The sequence below is a fragment of the Homo sapiens genome, chromosome 6 (genome assembly GCF_000001405.40).
Source record: "Homo sapiens chromosome 6, GRCh38.p14 Primary Assembly".
Classification (NCBI taxonomy): domain Eukaryota; kingdom Metazoa; phylum Chordata; class Mammalia; order Primates; family Hominidae; genus Homo; species Homo sapiens.
In genome coordinates this window covers 97,624,639-97,646,549 of record NC_000006.12, presented here as the reverse complement: position 1 = coordinate 97,646,549, position 21,911 = coordinate 97,624,639, and the positions used below count along the sequence as shown (strand labels likewise).

At 32.1% G+C, this 21,911-nt stretch overlaps 1 long non-coding RNA gene across 1 annotated transcript in view, besides 1 other annotated feature; it reads right to left on the bottom strand.

Annotated features, from left to right (window-relative positions):
- Positions 1-21,911, bottom strand: part of LOC101927314 (uncharacterized) — a 403,332-nt gene that overhangs the window by 62,368 nt on the left and 319,053 nt on the right. The gene's annotated exons all lie outside the window — the stretch shown is intronic.
- Positions 18,704-20,335: an enhancer, noted in NCBI's record as "VISTA enhancer hs1035". NCBI's record gives its function as "enhancer in: forebrain[8/8] | limb[3/8]" and the evidence as "EXISTENCE:transgenic organism evidence [ECO:0001131][PMID:17130149]".

The window sequence follows — 21,911 nt, the reverse complement described above, 5'->3', positions numbered from 1 at the left end:
CCCTGTCCTTGCAGAGCGTCCAATCAAAATGTATAGATAAAACAAGGAAGGAAAAATGTTCCAAATATACATGAAGCTAAAGTCTTTGAAAATTCATTTGAAGAACAAGTTTACAAGGTAATGTTTAGAGTTTAAAAAAAAACTTTACGTCAAGGAATTTATATTGATGAAATTATAGAAAAATTACATGTAATTTGTTTATTTATATGGTAGTTACTAATCTATAGTTTTTAGCTAGACTTGAACTTTTAAGTATCTTTTGTGGAAAGCACTATATGTAACAGTGACATCTGCAAAATATGATCTAGTTCCTTATATTTGTTTTTCCTTAAAGCTACTGGTAAATTATACTTTCAGTCTGCTGATTATAATGTAAGGTTTAGTGTCTTACAGAAAATTGTTTGTTTGCTCCTTTCTGTCAATCTGTGCCAATTTGACTTCTCCAGTCCTGCTTGATGCAGTCACCCTAAACATCTGATTCGTGGAACAGAAATATGTTAAATGCATTTGGTAGGGTCTTGTTTTATCTTCTTCTGTGCTGATTTACTCATCAACTTCCTGGCCTGTCATATGATAATAGGTCTTCATCCTGACACTTTCTCCTTCACCTTAGACAATATACTCCATGCTTTTATTCCCCTTTGCCAGAATTTTACTATTATGTGGATACAGTTCATAATTCTTAGAAATCCACGTCAGTCTTGAATACCTATCATGATTCTTCCTGGTGAGTTAGTTGCTTGGTGACATGCTTCTTATCAAGTCAAATATTTGAAAATTACCTTCAATTAATAAAATCAGCCTGTCTAAATTATAAATTTACAGTAAAAACCAGGCCTATTTCATTCTGTGCATGTGACAAAAAGCAAGATCATGTTGAAAAAAAAAAGAAAATGTTCTTTTTAAGTTTCCATAGAAAATAATACAGATTTCAAACTTCTTGATTCATTTGAAATTTGTAGTTGTGGCTGAACAACGTAGCTTGTATACATACTAACATACTCTTCTATAATTTGTCCTATGTTCTTTGATATAATCCAATTACATAGACTATATTAATAGAATATTAGAAAAACTTGACAAAATCACCACTCATTATATCTGTGTAAACTTTTACAAGGAATATTGTCTTGGCTTATTTTCATACATTTTGATTTTGCCACATGTTCAAATTCACTAAAAAGTAACCATAAATTTTAATATCCTACAATAAATATTTTGACTAAATTCATATTTAAAGAGAAAAGCATTCATTGAAGGAGTAATAAGCATATACCCTTTTCTCACCAAAGGGAAAATATAAATGGAAATGAATAGGATGAAATAAATGTTTGTTAATTACATACATTTTCCCAGCTGTTGAAACCAATACATATACTTAATCAAAAAATACTGACTTCAAAAAATAAATTTATTTTCTTAAAAAAAATCTATTTGAAAATGTGCTATTTATTCTAGAAAAATATTATAAAGGATGTCATATTCATAGAAACTTTTGGGAGAGTTGGAAGAGAAAATATTAATAAAGTCCTCTGGGTGAAGAAAGAGAGCACAAGGTAAGAAGATCTGGCATGACCGCAAGCCTAGTGGGCAGGTTGTATGGTAGAAAGAAGGGTCAGATGCATAAAGAGGAGGCAAGGTGAGATGGGGTAAAAACCCAATTAGTGGATTAAAGGGTAAGAATCTGAGTTCTCAAACACAGGGGTGATAATATAGGCAGCTTGGGAGAGGATTAGAATAAAGAAGTGATAACAGTATTCAGTTGAGAGGGAAGGCTGTCAAAAATGTAAATACGAAAAAAAAGTAGAACAATGAAAACAAAAACCTGACATTTAATCAAGGGTTATAGTAGCAGAAACTCAAAGAGGGGAAATGTTATGGTTTTAGCTGAAATAATTAACAGAGGACCAAGGCAGATGGAAAATTTGATCCCAATTACAGGAAACCAAATGGACTGCAAAGGAGTATAGGGAAATAACCCATTTCATTTCCTGATTCCTTATCTTAAATACATCGCATTAGGCAGTCAAAGCCTGACATCCACAATTAGATCTTTACTAGAGAGGGTACTGTTAAACCTGATATTTGAAAACTCGAAGAGCATGATATTTCAGAGAACCACACTTAAGCTAGATAGTGTTAGAGTTTTCAATGGCTAATTTTTACTTACATGTTTATATAATCTAACTGATATTGATGTTGCTTCACTTGTTAAAACATTTTGTTGGTAGTTCTTGAAATTAAAGCTTATTGTTTATGAAGGAAATTTGGCCTTTGATTCATTTCCTAATGTATAATTAAGTTGATGCTTTATTATTATCTACTTTTTAAGATAAAATAACATTTTAAATTATTTTCTAGATACCATTTTAAATTTCACTATATGACAATGGTTAGCCACATTTTAGAGACATGTCTTTACCAATTATTCCACCAAAAAATGGGAATACACAAAAACAGCCAAAACTTTACCATTATAATTGTAGTTCTTGTTCTAACTACACTCCAGATAATTTTTATAATATAAAAATATTTTTATCCAACTGGGATTTTATTATTGATGGAACATCACATTTTTCAATTGAAATGACAAAACAAATAATTTAGAAAAGATCAGTGACCAAGACAGAAGTCGCCAATTGTGACAAAGACACGAGTTTAAAATATTTAAAGCTATTATGCAGTGTATATGCATAAAGCAATCTTAAACAAGTGAAAATTTAAGCATAATCTTAATAACAAATTGCATATGATTAAAATGTAAGTGGACTAAAATTTAAGATGTTTTCTTCCCAGTACCTTTTAAATCAGCCTCTCATAAAGTATGATTAAAGAACACATATGAAATAGAAAATATAGAAACTAAAACCAAACTAAAGCTGACACTAAGAATGCCAAAGCTATACCTTGTGAATAGGTATTAGCCTAGAAAAAAAATGCGAAATTCATTTTTTTCTAGTACCTCTCCTGACTCAGAGACCCAGAAACTATACAATTAAAAAACTGGGAAATTTGTTGTACTACTTCCAAAGTTATACCTTTTGAACAGAAAGAATAATTTCACAATGAATTAAACAAGAGAACCCATTTTATTCCTTGTTACGCCTCAAATACGATCTCTCACCACAAAAAAAAAAAAAAGTGTTTCTTAGAATAGAATTTAAGAGGCATAATGACAAATGCACATCTTGGTAATAACTGAATTATAAGAATAATAATGTTATAACTCTTGTAAACTACTGGTAAAACAACAAAAAATGAACTACAATGAAACAAACAAACAAAAAATCAGGCTGGCTTCAGACTTCTCCTTCATAGCATTAAACAACAGAAGGAACTGGAGCAAGTGCAGATTTCTGAGATGAAAATGGGGTGATCCAACAATTCAGTATTGTACCAAATTATATTTTATGTGCCCAAGCATGCTAAATACTCTCAGAGTAGGAAAAAAATTCCATGTACCACCAAAAAAAAAAAAAAATTCTTGAAGACATATTTCAAAAGACCAGGAAGTAAAAAAACATAATTAGAAATAAAAATCTGGCCTGGCCTGGTGGCTCACGCCTGTAATCCCAGCACTTTGGGAGGCCAAGGCGGACGGATCACTTGAGGTTAGGAGTTCAAGACCAGCCTGACCAACATGGAGGAAACCCTGTCTCTACCAAAAATACTAAATTAATCAGGCATGGTGGTGCATGCCTGTAATTCCAGCTAACTCAGGGGGCTGAGGCAGGAGAATCGCTTGAATAGAGGTTGTGGTGAGCCAAGATCATGCCATTGCACTCCAGCCTGGGCAAAAAAAGCGAAACTCTGTCTCAAAAAAAAAAAAAAAAGAAGAAGAAGTAAAAATCTGAAAGTCAGCATTATACTTCAGTAGTATTCTATAAAATTATACTACTGCAAAGCATCCACATGCTGGACATATTACAACCAATACCATCGATACCATTCTGCAATGCATTAATAAGCTCACAAATAAGTAGAGAAAATCCTTAGGTACCAGGAAAAAATTAAAAGTAAACTGAAATAACAAAAGGGTGAACTTAATCTCAAACAGCAGTACTGACTTTGAAGCAAAATTCATACAGGGAATCAGAGTTTTAGAATAGGTAATCAATAATAATCTCCCCTGAGAATGCATGGTTTTAAGCCTGCTCACATAAATATCTGCTGTTCAAATTCATACCACAACCTGTTTAAGAAACAGCCAGGGTAAAAGATTCAATTACATGAGCTCTAGATGGGTAACACCCACTGACCCTAGCAGAGGCAAAATGTGAACAGACCTGGTAAAAGAGATCAGAGTAAATCTAGAAGGGCCATCAACAGTAATCCGGTTACGAGCCATGAGTTAAAGGCCTAAGATTACCTTTATTCAGATTCAGATTGTAAATGTCCAGTTTCAAAAAAAAGTGCATGTTCACATGATCATACCCACCAAAAGATTACTGAATTTAGAATAATCCTCTATTTGAAGCTGTTAGAAAATCATGAGGAAACAGCTACCCAAGCTCTCACAACATACAAAAAATACTCTCAAATTATGAAGGGTGGTCTAATTATTTATACTGATGATGGTAAGATACAAAAATATACCTAATTAAAAGTGAAGTTACCCGTATGTTCAAGGATTTTAGTAAAACTAGTAAGATAACAACAAGAATATATATAACATTCAACTCCAAAAGCTAAATGTTTAATAAGATTTGTTATTGAAAGAATCAGAATTGTGAAAGAACTTTTATAATCTGTACCAATAACTCTAGAACATTAATTCTTGTTACTAACTTGTCTTTCTACTGCAGAGATCATCTACTCTAAGGGAAAGTAACTCAAAAACTATTCAAGAAAATCAATAACTTTTATTTTTGTTACCTTTTCTCAAGATTTTCAAGGAAATATTGTTAGTGTAGGAGAATTCTAAATATGTTATCTGGAAATTAGCTCTTAAAATATTTGGCCTATTAACCAAAAATATTGGCTTGAAAATAATGAAGAACCATTTATTAAACATTTATTATATGCCAAGTGTTCTAAGTTTTATATAGGCATTAATAATCCTATGCATAGATAACATAGTTTTTCTAAATTTATCAGAAAGGATATTGAAGCACAGAGGAATTAAGTAAATTTTGCAATTATATAGCTTGCAAGTAGTGGAACCAGACTGTAAAATGAGGTATTTTAACTCCAGAGCACAAACTATTAATTATATAATAAAATATTGCTTTGCAAAGCTGTGACAAATACTCATAAAGGACTTTTAAATTTAAAAATTAGAACAACTTACATATCACATGACTTGAAAGAAATTTTTAGTCCATAGGCCAAGAGCATTTTTAGAGCAGACAATTAAGTTATGGTTTTTGTAATAAAGAATGTTAGCATTCACAGTGTAAGTTAATACAATACCAATCAAATTAATTTTCTACATATGAATTTAAATTTTAAGCTACATTGGAAATATTATAAGAGCTGGCTTCTGAGTTTTTATAGAAAACAACAGATACCTATGCCTGAAACTCTCCATATGTACTAAAAGAGACAGAGAGAGAGAGAGAGATATCAATAAGGAAAGTAAATAATACCAATAAATAATCCATGCCAATAGTATAGCTGAAACTTAAACAGTTAAAAGTCTTCAAATTACAGGCCAAAGGGAAAATACATGAAATAAGCAGAAGTAGCATCCAAACCTGTATGAAGAGTAAAGAAACTGCATGGAAAAGAGAAGAAATCAGGGGCTTATATTGGTGCAACTGAGGTCAATTGATCCCCAGAAAAAGAATGTTAGCTTGGATAAGTAAATATTGAAAATAGATCTTCTGCCAGGTGGATTAGAGAACTGGCTGTTGGGGAATCAAAAGGAAGGGACTTGAAGATGCACATGATTAAAGATGTCAGTTACGGGAAGTGAAGGTGTTGCTTAATGGCTCTGTGGTAGTAGTAAAGACAGAAACAAGTGGTAGAAATTAAGACCCCAAAGAAAGAACAACAAAAAAATCATAAATTAAAAGACATACAACCACCCCCACCAATTGCAACCTCTTAAATAAATGGTACTTCACAATATTAATTGAAGAGGATACACATGAGCTAATAAATCTAATAAATTACCCATATTCCCTATTCATGCATAAGTATATGTTTATTACCGGTCAAGTAAAGTAAACAAAAAATTACAATCAATAGAAATGTCAGGAAAATCAGTCAAAACTACCATAAGAACAAAATAGAAGTAAGAATAAAACTGTTCTAGTCAATCAAATTTCTCCCTAACACAATCTAAAGCATAGAAAACTTGTAGTCTAACACCTTCATCAGAAACAAATAGCCTTAAAACCATTTTCAGACACTTAAAAAACCTTCAAACCAGAAATTTAAGACCTAAAAAGATGAAAAAAATAAAGATGTAAACAAGACACAAGCACCCTCAGGAAAGAGCAAAAGAAAAAGATAAAGTAATCTCAGAAATAAAGACAAAATTAAAACATAACAAAGGTAGAATATATTTGACTATAAAAGTAATAAGAGGCATTTAGAGAATGAATAAAAATGACCAAGAGAATGAAAATGAAATTAAGAGGTAAAAGGTGAGAAATATAAAAGATAAAATGAGACTGTCCAATACACATATAATTGGAGTCCATGACGAAAAAACCAAACCAATGGAATAAAACTAATATTTTAAAAGATAATCTAAGAAAATGTTCCAGAAGTAAAAGGAAGACATAAATTTGTATTTTGAAAGAGTTCATGCACTTAGAAAAGTTGACCCAGAATGGTTAATTTGAATATAGACTAGGAAAACTATTAGAATTTAAAGATAAAGAAAAGAACTCTTCAGGGTCTCCTAACAAAAGATCGAGAAGTTTATAATTAAAGAATAGGAGGTTAAAATAAGTGTCTCACAACAAAATACAAAGCAAGACAATATCAGAACATTAATTTCGAGAAATTCAGAGAACCAAAGTAAGCTGTTCTTCACATTTAAAGTCTATATAAAAATAGTGTTGTGTGCAAATTCTCACAGGATATTATAGAAATCTACTGTAATAGAAGCTTCATTCAACATGAAAATATCTGCAAAAATGGCACAGAATAACTGACAATAGTTATGTAATATTTTTAATTGCAGACCTAAGATGAAAAACTAAATAAAGCAAAACTTTTGTACAAATGTATAATAATGTAAATGTTATGTGTTCTGACAAATGAAAATAATGAAACTAAATAAATTAGAGAAAAAGGAACACAGAAAAGGGAAATCAAATAAATTATTAACCCCTAAATAAAAAATAGGAGAGAATGAAAGAATACATCATTAAAGCTGAAAACAAATGGTGTGAGCCTAAATATATATCATAGAAATTTGAAATAAATGTAGCACAAAATATATATTTTATTAACCATATATGTAGTATAAAATAGTAGTTGAGATAAAGAGTATCAGTCATATTAGTCAATGTAAGTCGTCTTAACATATTTATTTAAGAAATAAGATTTTAGGTTGTCTCACAAAATGAAAGCCAGTGCTACATTGTATGCAAGAGATAAATCTAAAACCAAGTGATTCAGAAAGGATGAAAATAAAGGGATGGGTAAGAGCATACCAGCAAACTGCAAAAAAAAAATAATAATAATAATAAAGGAGTGATTGAGATAATTATAACAAGGTACAATCCAGACCAGAAAGCATTAATTAAGATTTTTTAATAAGAACTTTATAACAAAAATCAAAATTGGACAATGAAGATATGAGCTATCAATTTCTATGCAACAAGTAACATATTGACCAATTCAGAATTACAGATGATGCTAGCACAAGCAGACAGAAACACATTATTTAAAGGAGATTTTAACTCACACTCCCTACCAGATAGGTGGCAAAAAACTAAATGACAGAATCAATAAGATGAAAACCAATAGGTAGATAGAGATATATTCAACTTCACATCGCAAAAAAACAAACATTTACCTTATTCTAAGGCACACATGGAACATTTATAAAAACTGAACATACAGGCATACCTCAGCAATATGGCAAGTTTGGTTCCAGACAACCACAATAAAGTAAATATTGTGATAAAGGAAGTCACACAATTGTTTTGGTTTCCAAGTGCATATAAAAGTTATGTGTACACTAGACTGCAGTTTGTTAAATGTGCAATAGCATTATGTCTAAAAACTCCATGTACATACCTTAATTTTTAAATACCTTATTGTTTAAAAATGCTAACCATTATCTGAGTCTTGAGCAAGTTATAATCTTTTTGCTGGTGGAGGATCTTGCCTCAATATTGATGGCTGCTGACTAATTAGAGTGGTGGTTCCTGATGGTTAGGATGACTGTAGCAATATCTTAAAATAGGACAACAATAAAGTATGCCCCATTGAGTGATTCTTATTTTTACAAAAGATTTCTCCACAGCAGGCAATACTGTTTGATAGCATTGTACTCACAGCACAATTTCATTCAAAATTGAAGTCGATTCTCTCAAACCCTGTCACTGTTTTATCAACTAATTGTATGAAATATTCTAAATCTCTTCTGTCATTTCAACAATGTTCACAGCATCACAAACACTTTCTTTGCTCATGTATGAAAAGAACTTCTCATCCATTAAAGTTTTATTATGAGATTGCAACAATTCAACCATGTCTTCAGGCTCCACTACTCTTGTCCTCTTGCTATTTCCACCATATGTACAGTTACTTCCTCCCTGAAGTCTTGAACCCCTCAAAGTCATCCATGAGAGTTTGAATCAACTTCTTACAAAAGCCTGTTAGTGCTGATATTTTGAATTCCTTTCATAAATTATTTATGTTCCTAATGACATCTAGAATTACCAGAAGATTTTCAATTTATATTACCCATATCCATAAAAGGAGTCAATATTTATGGCAGCTATAGCCTTAAAAAATATATTTCTTAAGTAATAATCATTGAAAGTCAAAATTATTCCTTGATTCATGAGCTGCATAATGGATGTTGTGTCAGCAGACAGGAAAACGACATGAGCCTTCTTGTACATCTCCAACAGAGCTCTTTGGTGACTATGTCAATGTGCAGCAATATTCTGAAAGGAGTCTTCTGAGCAGTAGGTCTCAATAGTGGACTTAAAATATTCAGTAAACCACACTGTAAACAGATGTGCCATTATCCAGGCTTTGTTATTCCATTTACAGGGCAAAAGCAGAGTAGATTTAGCATAATTCTTAAGGGCCCTAGGACTTTTCAGAATGGTAAATGAGCATTGAATTCAACGTAAGTCACAAGCTCCATTAGCCCTTCACAAGAGAGTCAGCCTGTCCTTCAAAGCATTGAACTCAACAACTTTTCCTCTATAGTTGTGAAAGTCCTAGATGGCATCTTCCAATAAAAGGCTATTTGCCTATACTGAAAATCTGTTGTTTAATGCAGCCATCTTCATCAATTGTCTCAGCTAAATCTTCTGGATAACTTGCTACAGCTCCTACCTCAGCACTTGCTAATGCAGCTGGTGACTTAAGTTGAATTCAACTCAACAGTTGTTGCTTCATCTTACATTTTTATGTTGTAAATACAGCTTCTTTCCTTAAACCTAATAAACTTCTGTTAGCTTCCAACTTTTTCTGCAGCTTCTTCACCTCTCCCTGCCTTCACAGAATTAAAGAGAATTAGTACCAATTCTGGATTAGGCGTTGGCTTTAGATAATGTTGTGGCTTGTTTGATCTTCTTTCCAGACCACTAAAACTTTCTCTATATCAGCAATAAGGCTGTTTTGCTTTCTTGACATTCATGAGTTCACTGAAATAGCACTTCTAATTTCCTTCAAAAACTTTCACTTCGCATTCTCAACTTAGCTGACTGTTTGGTGTAGGAGGCCTGGCTTTTCTCCTGTCTTGACTTTCAACATTCCTTTTCCACTGAGCTTAATCAGTGCTAGCTTTAGTATTATCGTGGTGTTATTAATTGGCTTAATTTCAATATTGTTGTGTCTCAGAGAATAGGGAGGTTTCAAGGAGAGGGAGAGAGATGGGAGAACAGCTGGTTGGTGGGGCCGTCAGAAAATGTGTGACATTTATCAATTAAGTTTGCCATCTTCTATAGGCATGGTTCGTGGTACGCCAAGACAATTACAGTACGATAGTATTTGAAAGATCACTGAACAGATATAATAATGATAATAATAATAATAAACTTAAAATATTTTGAGAATTACCAAAATGTGACACAGATAGGAAATGGGCACACGTTGAAATATGATACCAATAGACATGTTCAGTGCAGGGTTGTCACAAATCATCAATTTGTAAAACATGTAATATCTGTGAAGCATAATAAAGCAGGGCAAAATAAAATGAAGTATTCCTGTATAATAAACTATTACAAAAATCTTAATAATTTCTACGAGAGGAAAAATACAAACATGGCCACAACATCATGACATTTTACAGTTATAACAATATTTTAAGGTTATTGCAAGTTGAATTTTAAAACTCTCTAATAAGTAATTATTGAGCAAAAGGAAAAAGACCAAAATGGAATTACAGATTCTACATATCAGGATTTATGTCATTACATTAAATCACTAATAAGCAGAAAATATACGAGTTAAATTCCCAATTGAAACAGCTAGAAAAGGACAAAATGTAAACCTAAGCAAAAGGGAACAAAATAAAATAAAAGCAGATATTAATAAAGTTAGAAAACACAAAATAGTAGAAATTTAGTATTTTAATTAAAAAACAAAACAAATCATTGACTAATCATTAAAAGAAAGCAAAACTACATGAAATAATAAACTACAGGGGACAAAATAAACATTAAAATAAGAGTAAATTTCAAAATCATGTGACTTTTACCTTTTACTTTGCACAACAAATAAACTTGAAAATCTAGATGAAATGACTAATTCTAAAGAAAAATATTTTTACCAAATTGATCTCAGTAGGAACTGAAAGTGTAAACAAATCAATTTCCACAGCAGAAATAGAGAAAATTAGTAAAGTATTACCCCACATACAGATCACCAAGTCCAGATGTTTTCAAAGGGCAATTTCTGGAAATCTCCAAGGATGAAAATAGAAGTCCAATGATATTAAATAATTCCAGAGCATAAGGGGAAAAATAAAAACTTCCAAATTCTGTTGTGTTTCTTGGGAGAGTACACAAAACCTTGATACCTAAACCTAGTAATTATAGCTTTAAGAAATTAAAATAACATTTATTAATATTTCTTCAAAATTGTAATTAAAATATTAGCAAACAGAGTCCAATAGTTTATACAAAAAAAATACATCATGGTCAAATGGTATTTATTCCAGGAATGCAAGGGCAACTTAATATTTGGAAATCCATCAGTGCATCAATGTACTTCACCATATTAGTAAATATAAGAAAAAAACCACATGATTGATTCCATAAACGTTGAAAACTTAAAAGAAGATTCAACACATTTCAGCACCCATTTTAAATAAAATAGATGTGTGTATGTGTGTGTTGTGTGTATCCTAAAGCCAGTATCTGACCTATTTGACTTAATAGGAAACACTAAAGACACTCCCTTTATGGGCAGGAAAAAGGCAAAATGTTCACTGTCTCCAATTATAATCCTGCATTTGAGATATTAATCAATGAAATTAGATATGAGGAAATAGAGACATAAGAACATAAAAGAAGTATAAAGCATCCTATTTGAAGATGACAAGATAGTATACATAAAAAACTCGAGGATTTAATGACTAAACTGAAACCAAAAATAAAATTTAAAACAGTAGAAAGAGAAATACTATACACAAATTAATGTACTCCATATATACAAATTATTAATTAGAAGATACAATGTAAGAGAAATGCTATTTTTCATGGCCACCAAAAAAAATGAAGTACTTAGAAGTAAACCTAACAAGTGATGTTAAAAAGGTTTTTAAAGAAAACTTTAAAATACTCCGAATGAAAAGTGAACTTAAAGGGAAAACTATCTGTTCTTAGATGGTCTGAGTCAACACCACGAAGATGGCAATTCTCACCATGTTAATCTAGAAACAACATGACTCCATAAAAATACAAAGAACAATATGTTTGAAGCTAGATAAGTTGATTTTAAAATTTTAAGGAAAATAATTACGGTAGAAAAACTAGAATAATCCTCAAAAGCAGCAGTAGAGTGCCTAGCCAAACAAATACTAAGATATAATCAAGGCGCGGTGTTACAGGAGTATAAACAGAATCAATGAGAAAGCCCAGTACGTATGTAAATTTTATATATATTATATATATATGTGTGTGTGTGTGTGTGTGTGTGTGTATGTATATATATGTGCATATATGTATATATGTGTATATATGTGTATATGTGTGTATATGTGTGTGTATATATACACACGTGTGTACATATGTATGTACATATGTGTATATATATATACACACATGTGTACGTGTGTGTGTGTGTGTATATATATACATACACATATATATACACCATTTCCAATCACTCCTTTTGGGGAAATGTGATATCAGATCTGTACCTCAAATATACAAAAATAAACTAAAAATAGATCAGATATCTAAATATAAAAAATGAAATCATATATATACTAGAACAGGACATAGATTAATTCCTTTTTAACCTTGATATGGGGAAAGCCTTTCTACCACAAAATCCAGATACAATAAAAGATAAATTAAACTACATAAAATATTTTAAAATAACCTTTTGCAGGAAAAAAACACTATGAGCAAAATCAAAACAAAAATGACAAAATGTGAGAAAATATTTGCAACATATATTGCAGATAAAAGGTTAATATTCCAAAAATATAAAGAAATCTGAAAAATGAGAGAGACATGAACATATGTTCCACAGAAAAAAAAACATATACAAACAGTCTTAAAATACATGTAAGATGCTTCCAGTCACTTAATTTATAAAAACGTAAATTAAAACTCCACTGACTGACCATTTCTTCCTTATCAAGTTGACAGAAATCCAAAGCTTCACCATACACCCTGCTAGTGAGGTTGTGAAGAAACACATCCTCATACGTTGTTGGTCAGAACATCACATTATACCATCCTGTGGAGGGGAATTTAGCAAAAGTTAGCAAAACAAAACCTATCCTTTGATCCAGCAGTTCCACTTCTAAAAATTTAATCTGAGGATATATCTCTACAACTACAAAACGTATGTATAAGTGTTTAAGTGTATTCATTGAAACATTAATTATAATAGCAAAATATTGAAAACAACTTAAATTCCCTGCAGTAGCAAGCAATAGATTTTTATACATTACCGAATATCCAAAAATGGGTACTTTGTAGCTATACAAAACACTAAAGAAGTTGCCAGTAAACTGCTAAGGAGTGATTCCCAGGATATATTGTTAAATGTAAAAATATATATTATAACCTACTGTGTAAGAATGAGGAGAATGAAGACACACATTAAGCATGTTTATTTGTGTATGTATTGCTTAATACATTTGTGTATATATTTGTGAAAATAGACACACTCAGAAAAAAACCAGAAACTAATGAAAATTGTTACCTAAAGATGAAAAGTGGGAAAAAAGTATAAGAGAAAGGAAAAAGAATCAAACTTTTCTGATTCATCCATATATAATATATATATATATAGCATTTGATATGTAAGCATATCACTTCTTTATGTAAATTTAGAAATTAAATCAAGAATCCAAAAAAAATCACTAAAATTGAACAGAAACAGAAACAAATTTAGCTATAGCAAATTTATAACATACGTGTCCGTACACACACACACACACACACACACACAATTTCAGAAATTTTTGAACACAGTACTGTGATTATTAACCCCTAGTAGAATACATTTTAAAGACAAAAAGAACTTTAAAAAACTTTAAGTTTACTTAGCAAGTTTGCTGTTGGTAGTGGTATCGGTGTAGTAATTCTGAAAATATTTTGTGGGTGCTGTAAAATACACTAAATGAATAAATATATTGGTGTTGACAGTCAGGATCTTCACTGTGGAAAAAGTAAGATTCCAACATAGGAAGTGTGGAAGAACTCTGCAATGCAGCTTTCAGTATAAGAGATAGTGTGAAAGAACTCTGCAATGCAGCTTTCAGTATAAGAGATACATATACTGCATTGACTGACTGAATAAGCACATGATGAACCTGAATCTTGGTTTCTAAATACAATTCCCCACTATAAGGAACCAGAGCTCTTTGGAGAAATGGTTGATTCCAGCTCTTAGGCATGGAAAGTGCAAGGTAGGTTTGTAACATATTGCTGAGACAGAAAGCAAAGAAAATGCTCAAAGATTGATAAGGCTATATCAAACGACACGAGGTCAACTTGAAGGGGCTTCTACTTCACATATTTGGGATAATTTGAGCAATCAAAAAAATAATGATGGCAATGGATGATAACACATCAAATATTTTAAAAATTCCTAACTCCATAATGATATTTTAAAAAATAAAAGAGATGGGGAAGAGAAAGTTCTTCCTTGAAGAAAGTCTATTAGTAAATATAAAACAAAAGATATAAATTAAAAAATTTTTATTTTGCAAGCACTAATGCTAAGATTATCATGAATGTTAAAAAATATTAAATCAATTTTTTGAGAGCAAGATTTGTATACAGTCTTAAAGCGTTAACCACAGTTATCTATCAACTGAGAAAAAAGTTTACCTTTTACAATGAAAGAATCTCAGAGATATCAGTTTAATCAAATAAACAATAAAGCATGACCAATAATGGTATAAGTCAATATTATTAATGTGATACACTGAGAAGGACACAAGATCATCTGTTTATTATTCTTGACAAAAAGTATTTCAACTGATTCTAAAAATCCAGAAATAATCAGTGGGACATTGTGAAAAAAATAAAAAAAACACTGGCCTAGACTTTTCAAAATTTCAAATTCATGAGACAAGAGAGGGACTATTCTATATTAAAGACAAGACAACTAAGGGTATTGAATAATCCTTGATTGAATCATCAGTTGAAAAGTGAAACAACTATAAGAAATGTGAATTTCATAATGGAAAAATTTTAATATGGGCTGATATCAGGTATTTTTCTTACATCAATAGTTTATATTTTGGGTGTAACAACACCATTAAGGTTATGAAGAAGAATGTCCTCATCTTGAAGAAATAGATGTTGAAGTATTTGGGGTGAATTATCATGATGTCTGCAACTGATTTCTAAATGGTTCAGTAAATATATTTCTGTATGTGAGAAGGACACAGAGAGAGAGCGAGATTGCCAGTGTAGGAAATTGGTAACCTCTGGTGTACTTAGATGAGACATATGAGTGTTCATTATATATGTTTTTAGTTTATTCATAGGCTTGAAATCTTTCAAAGTAAAAACTTAGGAAATGAAAAAAGTCATTTAGCATTAATGAACAAAATGTATTTATTTTTAAGAGTTTCAAAGTTATTATTTTAAGCAGCACAAAGCTAAGGCTATCTAAAACATAATAATAAAATTATAGTCGGGTTATTTAATTGCCTTTTATCGCCTAAAAATAATAATTAAAAAGGAAGCGTATGCTGTTTATTTACTTAAAGGAATATTCCTATCAGAAAGAAGAATGTAATTTTCTCATATTTTGCCCTCATCCACCAAATATGTGTAATAATTCACAAGAATGTTGACTCTTTTAATAGTTCCAGAAAAGTTTTGCAGATTTTGAGGTAGATGAGTTAAACTGAGGTCATAAATTCAATAATAGCAAAATCACTTCTTAACTTCCACATTAGCATCAGGAACTCTGGCTACAAATTCCACCTCTGTTACTCACTAGACATGGAGTCACCGTCTAACTTGTTCAGATTTCACATTTCTCATCTGTAAAATGTGAATATGAATACCTATGTCATTCCTCCCTTTGAAGAATCATAAGTTATGTAAGCAATATCATTTAATAGCATAATGTCTAGCTAGACTAGGGGCTCCATAAATGTTAGGTGAACTTGGTATTGTCTAATAACATCAATGGTTTAACTTGTTTTTGACACTTGAACTTGGTTCTTTCTAAATTAATATAGTCATCGGTGCTGTCTGCAAGAGAGAATATATTGAATTTCATGAGTTATGAAGAAGCAGAGATATATCTTCAATTAAAATTTGTACAAAATCACAGTCCTCGAAAAGGCACAAGGCCATATAAAAACTAATAAGAAATTCTCATCCATAATTGATCCACAGTTTTTAATTAATGCATTTCTCTAATAGCTATTCAGCTGTTACACTGGTGCTACTGAAATTAAAACACTATAAAACAGTGTTATCATTCCAAAAATATACACCTAAAAATGATTTTACCTCTTATTTTCAAAGCAATATATTTAATCCCATTACATTTGAATTGGTAATTATTAGATAACTTCCAAGCAAGTCTAAACAGGTAGTTTCCCTTTTTATAGAACTATGCCAAAGTTACCAGAACAGAGTCATCTTATAGATGAATAAGGCAGGTAGTAATCTATTTATTTGGCACACTTTGAGAAATATCATGGCAGAAAGATTCTCAGTCTTCTTCCTCTTTATAAATAACAAAAAGGTGCTAACAGTCAATAAGCCTACAAAAAGGGCCAGGAGTTGAAAAACCCCTCCTATCCTCAAACATATTTTAAGCATTTGCATCTCTTTTAAATATGCTCCAGTGGGAAAAGGTGTATTAAGGGAAGGGAACAGTGGGAGTGAGATGAAGGAAAACCCCCTAAATTGCTACTTTTCCAGAGGCTTAACTGTAAATAGCAGATTACAGAACCAGAATCAAACACAGCATTTGGGTGGGTGGCTGAGCTGTAGAGAAGACCCCTTCTTCCACTCATTGATATTAAATACACACCAGCCCCATTGATTTGTGTGAACTGTTGTTTTATAATTAAGCAAGAAAAGTTTAGTTGCGACCAGAAGCCATCAAATTAGGGGAGACAAGAATAATGAAGGCGATGGCATCATTCCCTGCCTGATGCATTCAAGGTTCCAGAGGTAAAGGTGAAAAAGTAACAGAACTGTCTTATGAGAGATTTCCTGTGATTCTTAGAAAGCCTGAGATATTGAAATATTTTCATGAGAGTCTTTGGGTAACTCTTGGCACAAGTGCGATTCTGAGTTGGGGAAAGAGCCTTTCTCCCTGCTGTTTCCTCACACCCTGCACTCTTGTGACACTCAGGGCTGGCAGCCTTACGGACACTGCCACCCACACCCAGGAAAGAGAGGAAGGCCCCTGTCAGCATAGGCAGGAGGTGAAACTCTGTGAAGCAGTTTTATGGATGGAGACTCCATCCATGGAGAAAAACAAAGGAGAACATGAATATTTAGTCATGTGGGGGGAAAAATGAGACTATGAACAAATGTTAGGCCCCCATCCCTTTAATTTATATCATGTCCTGCCACTGGGTCAGTCTCCCTAAAAGAGCATTTTATCCTTTTTGTAAATTCTTCATCAAAAATCATTAGATATAGGATAAACAAAACATTCTGATCACGACCTTCTAAAATGTGGCCTCAATGAATTCCCTTTCATTCTCTATAAGAATCTCATATAACCTAAACATATTTGCCACTTCCTCTCTTCTCCCAGTTTCTTACCTTGATTAAAGCATATCGTTTCTTGAACTTTGTACAGTCTCCTGCATCCTCTCCTGCCCGTCTAAATACAAAGCAAGTAAAGTACCATCAGTTCCATAAACACTTTCCAGCCTTCAACAAACTACTTTGATCTACTGCTCTTCCCAAAAATATGACACAAATTGTCCATATTCAGATATTAGCATTGCAAACTTAAAAAAATATATGGTTTGATACTTCATCAGTTATATATTGTTTGGGAACATCTTTTTTTCTGTTGTCTAATTTTGTACTTGGCCTTTGTATTATATTTTGTCTGGCCTTCCCATTTATAAAGTAAGTTTCTTGATGACAAGTTCTATGTTATTCTCATCTTTGCATTTTCTACAGTGCTTAACATGGAGAAGTCCTCTATAAATATTTTTGATGGATAAATTGACTCATTTATTTAGCATGGTATCAAGAAAAATGAGAAGGAATATTTGGAGTAACATCTCATCACATTTTGAAATGTTACTCTTTTTTCTCTATCCAGAAAAGTCTCTTTTCAGTTCTAATCCGAACTTCCTAGTAACTGAGATAAAGTCAAATAATCAATCCACAGTCTGCTAGCACATATTAGCAAAAATTTCGCCAACCCACAGTGATAATCATCAAAGGATAAAATGTTCATAGTCAACTCTTCTTTTAGGTTTACAAACAGTGAATGTATAACCAACCAGACTGAAAGTGAGATCTACCACAACAAGGCACCATGATCCTTTTATTTTCCATTATGCATTATTTTAAAGAAATTTAATAACAAAACAAAAGTGCCAGGAAACTTGAGATCTAAGTCCTTTATATTAATCTTTAAGACGTACTTTTATGTACTAAAATAAAGTATCTGTCTCCAAGTTCTTTGTTGATTAGTCAACCACACTGGAAGAAAGACTAAATTTTTTTTTCCAGTCTTTTGCCTCCTTATTCACTAAGGATAAAAAAAAATTATCACATTGAAACCATCGGCTGCTCAAAATTCATATTTCTCCAGCACAGTCAAAGATTATTAATAATTATTACATATAAACTATAAGATGTTCTATTTTAATAGTTTCTTATATGCCTCAAAAGCATTTCTTTCCCTTCTTACATGAAGTCTTGCCTCCCTTTTATTCCTTTACTCATACATTAACATTTATAATTCCTTACATCACAAAAATATACAATAAGAAGAAATCTCTTCATTTATTATTAGTATGAGAAATCAGAACTACGTTAGATTCAACACATTGGAAAACAAAATGAAACCACCGATCCCCAACCTCTAGTGTAAGAGAAATTAAGCAGAAAGAGTTGCCTCTGTTGGGTTTTAAAAACAATATATAAAACTAAATGGATAGAGAAGGAAAGCAAACAGTTGATTCACATGACCAGGGTGAAAGGAAAAACAAACATTATAGTTGCAAAAACATATATTCCATAACAAGTTCTTAAGACTCCCAGGTGCAACATCAGCAGCGCTCGAGTCTCGATTTTTATTGTAATCTTGTGGCTTTTTATTTGTAACTTATATGAAAAGAATCATATTGATTGGGGCAGATTTAACTCAGTAAAACCTATTCTACCGAGATTGTCTGTGCTAGGTGATTTTATCAAGTTCTCTTTTGGTTTCATTTTCTTCCTCATCCCTATTCCCAGGGGAGGCTGCAGCCCAGCTTGCAGAGCAAATTGCCCTAAATTGAGTTCTTTCTCTGGCATAGACAGGGCTGCCTTTGGCTCCTCGGCTTGGAAACTTTATGCATTCTTTTTTCCTTCGTCCTTAACAATCCCCTTCCCTTTTTCCAATTAAAATGGAGAAGTTTGCACCGGTACCTGCTCCCAATTAAATGAATACTGCATTACCAGCCACACTCCCGGATCTTCTTTACCCTCCCTTCATTAGCCTTATTCCTCTGAGGCTGCCTGGCTGTCTGCCAGGGACTTATGGCAAGAATTCAAAATCTTGCACACTTTATCCCCTCCAAATCATTCTTGAATATAAGCAGTCTGCTCCTTAGGCCTAGCATGAGAAATCCAAGAACGTGTTCAAAATGGATAGGGGGTTGGGAGGGAGAGAAGAGAAAAAAATGATTTATTTAAAAGGCTAAAAGCCTACGCAAAGAAAGACAAGCTAAGAGAGGTTAAGCTTCCCAGTTAATTGACCTTAGTTTCTTTTTTAAAAGCCTGAGTAGGAAGAACAACAAATGACAGTTCAATGGCCTTGCTTTATTTCTGAGTGCCTTCATGTCTACAGGAAGTACATCATCATCTTTGCACCTCAGGCATACTGACTCCCAACACTCAAAATAATGTACCATGACCGAAGAGGCCAATATTGGAAGCTTAAGCAACTACTGTTATATATATATGTGTGTGTGTATATATATATGTGTGTGTGTATATATATGTGTGTGTGCATATATATGTGTATATATGTATATGTGTATATATGTATATACATTATATATACATATATATGCATAGATATACATATATACATATATACACACATATATACATATATGTGTATACATATATACGTATATATGTAATATGTGTATATACATATATATGTATATATATAAAGATCAACATGGAATTTTCCAACAAATGTGAGTGCTATGGGGCTGTTGCATCAGCCATTCTCAATTGACACTTGGAATCAGTGAATGTGCATCAAGCTGTCATGAATGATGACCTAGGTGTCAGGCCAAAAAACAAATGGGCATTCTGTTTGCCTCCACTACTCTCTGAAACTTTGCAAATTTCATTTACAGAACTACTGAGCATACTTGAGCAGAATATGTGATCAAATTCCAGTTCTAGTACATACTGTGTGTGTGACCTTGAGCAAGTTATTTAACTTCTCCAAGGCTCATGGTTATCATTTGTAAAGTGGGACTAATAACTATATCCAGAATGATATGCTTTTTGTGGATTAAGTAGTTCATGTAAAGCACCGAGCACAATTCCTGGCACATGGTACATAGTTACCTACTGTATATTCCCATTATTATTGTTACTATTATTAATACTAGGCAAAAATTATACCATATGATCTGATAGAAATTTGGAGCCTTTCCCAGAATATGGCAAGGGCTAAAGACAATTTGCAGATGATTTTTAATTTTATAAATTTAAAAATGTGCAATTGGATTCTCAGAAGTTGACCCATGTTTGGCACAGAACCCAACACAGCTATGACATCCGCCAAGGTCAATATTGGAAAACCTATCCTTTAGTGGTAATTATACGTCATCAAATTCTTCAAGCACCTTAGAGAATATATCACCATTGCTGACTTTTTAGTAGAACAATATGTAATTGCACACTTCAAAACAGTCGTCACCAATTTGTTTCAGTTCTGAGAATTAACATAGTATTTGTTTTATCTCCTAGTGATAAACTTCCCAAGCACGCTATAATGCCACAGTTCACCACTTGAAGAAAAAAAAGCAAAGCAATGCAAAAAGCCATAATTGCTAAATCTTTTTCAGTGGTTAGATTGATGAAAAGACAAAAAAATCGTAAATATGAATTGGGATAAATACAATAAACAAATTTGTGCTGACTGTTTTTATCTCCTACAACAGACACCACTGATGTCTGTACATGAGCTGCACAATTATTGACTGATTTATAAGAAATATGCCGTGTATTGTCTAAGAAACCCAAGGCAGTAGACATAATCTCAAAATAGGAAGTTACTTTATAAATAGCTACTTTTAATGTGTAAATTTTTAAACTAATATCTAACAGTTGTACATATTTGGGGGGTGCCTGTGATATTTTGATATCTGTATACAATGTGTAGTAATAATCAAATCAGGTAATTGTTACATCCATCGTCTCAAACATTTATCTTTTCTTTGTGTTGAGAACATTACAGTTCTTCTCTTCTAGAAAATAACTATTTTTGATTGATCAAATCCAGGTCAAATTTCCTATAGCATTTTACAATAATTATTAGGAATGCAAACACTGGAATCAGAGATCTGGAATTACATTACAGCCTCAACTTTTGCTTGCTATGTAACCTCGAAAATGTCATTTAACTTATCAGACCCTCCATTTCCTCAAATAGGGCTTATAACATGTGCAAGGTGATGTTTTTAAGGATTACATTTAAAATGCTTAACTTGAGCCATAAGAAGCTCTCTACTTTACCATGATCATGATCATCATCGCTATTATTACTGTCAAGTTTTTTTACTTTCAAAAATTAGTTCTTAAAATAGGAAAAGAATGTGAAATATGAAGCAAGAGATTTTGATGTATATCAAATATTAGTGAGACTGCACTGATCCCACTAGAGGTAACACA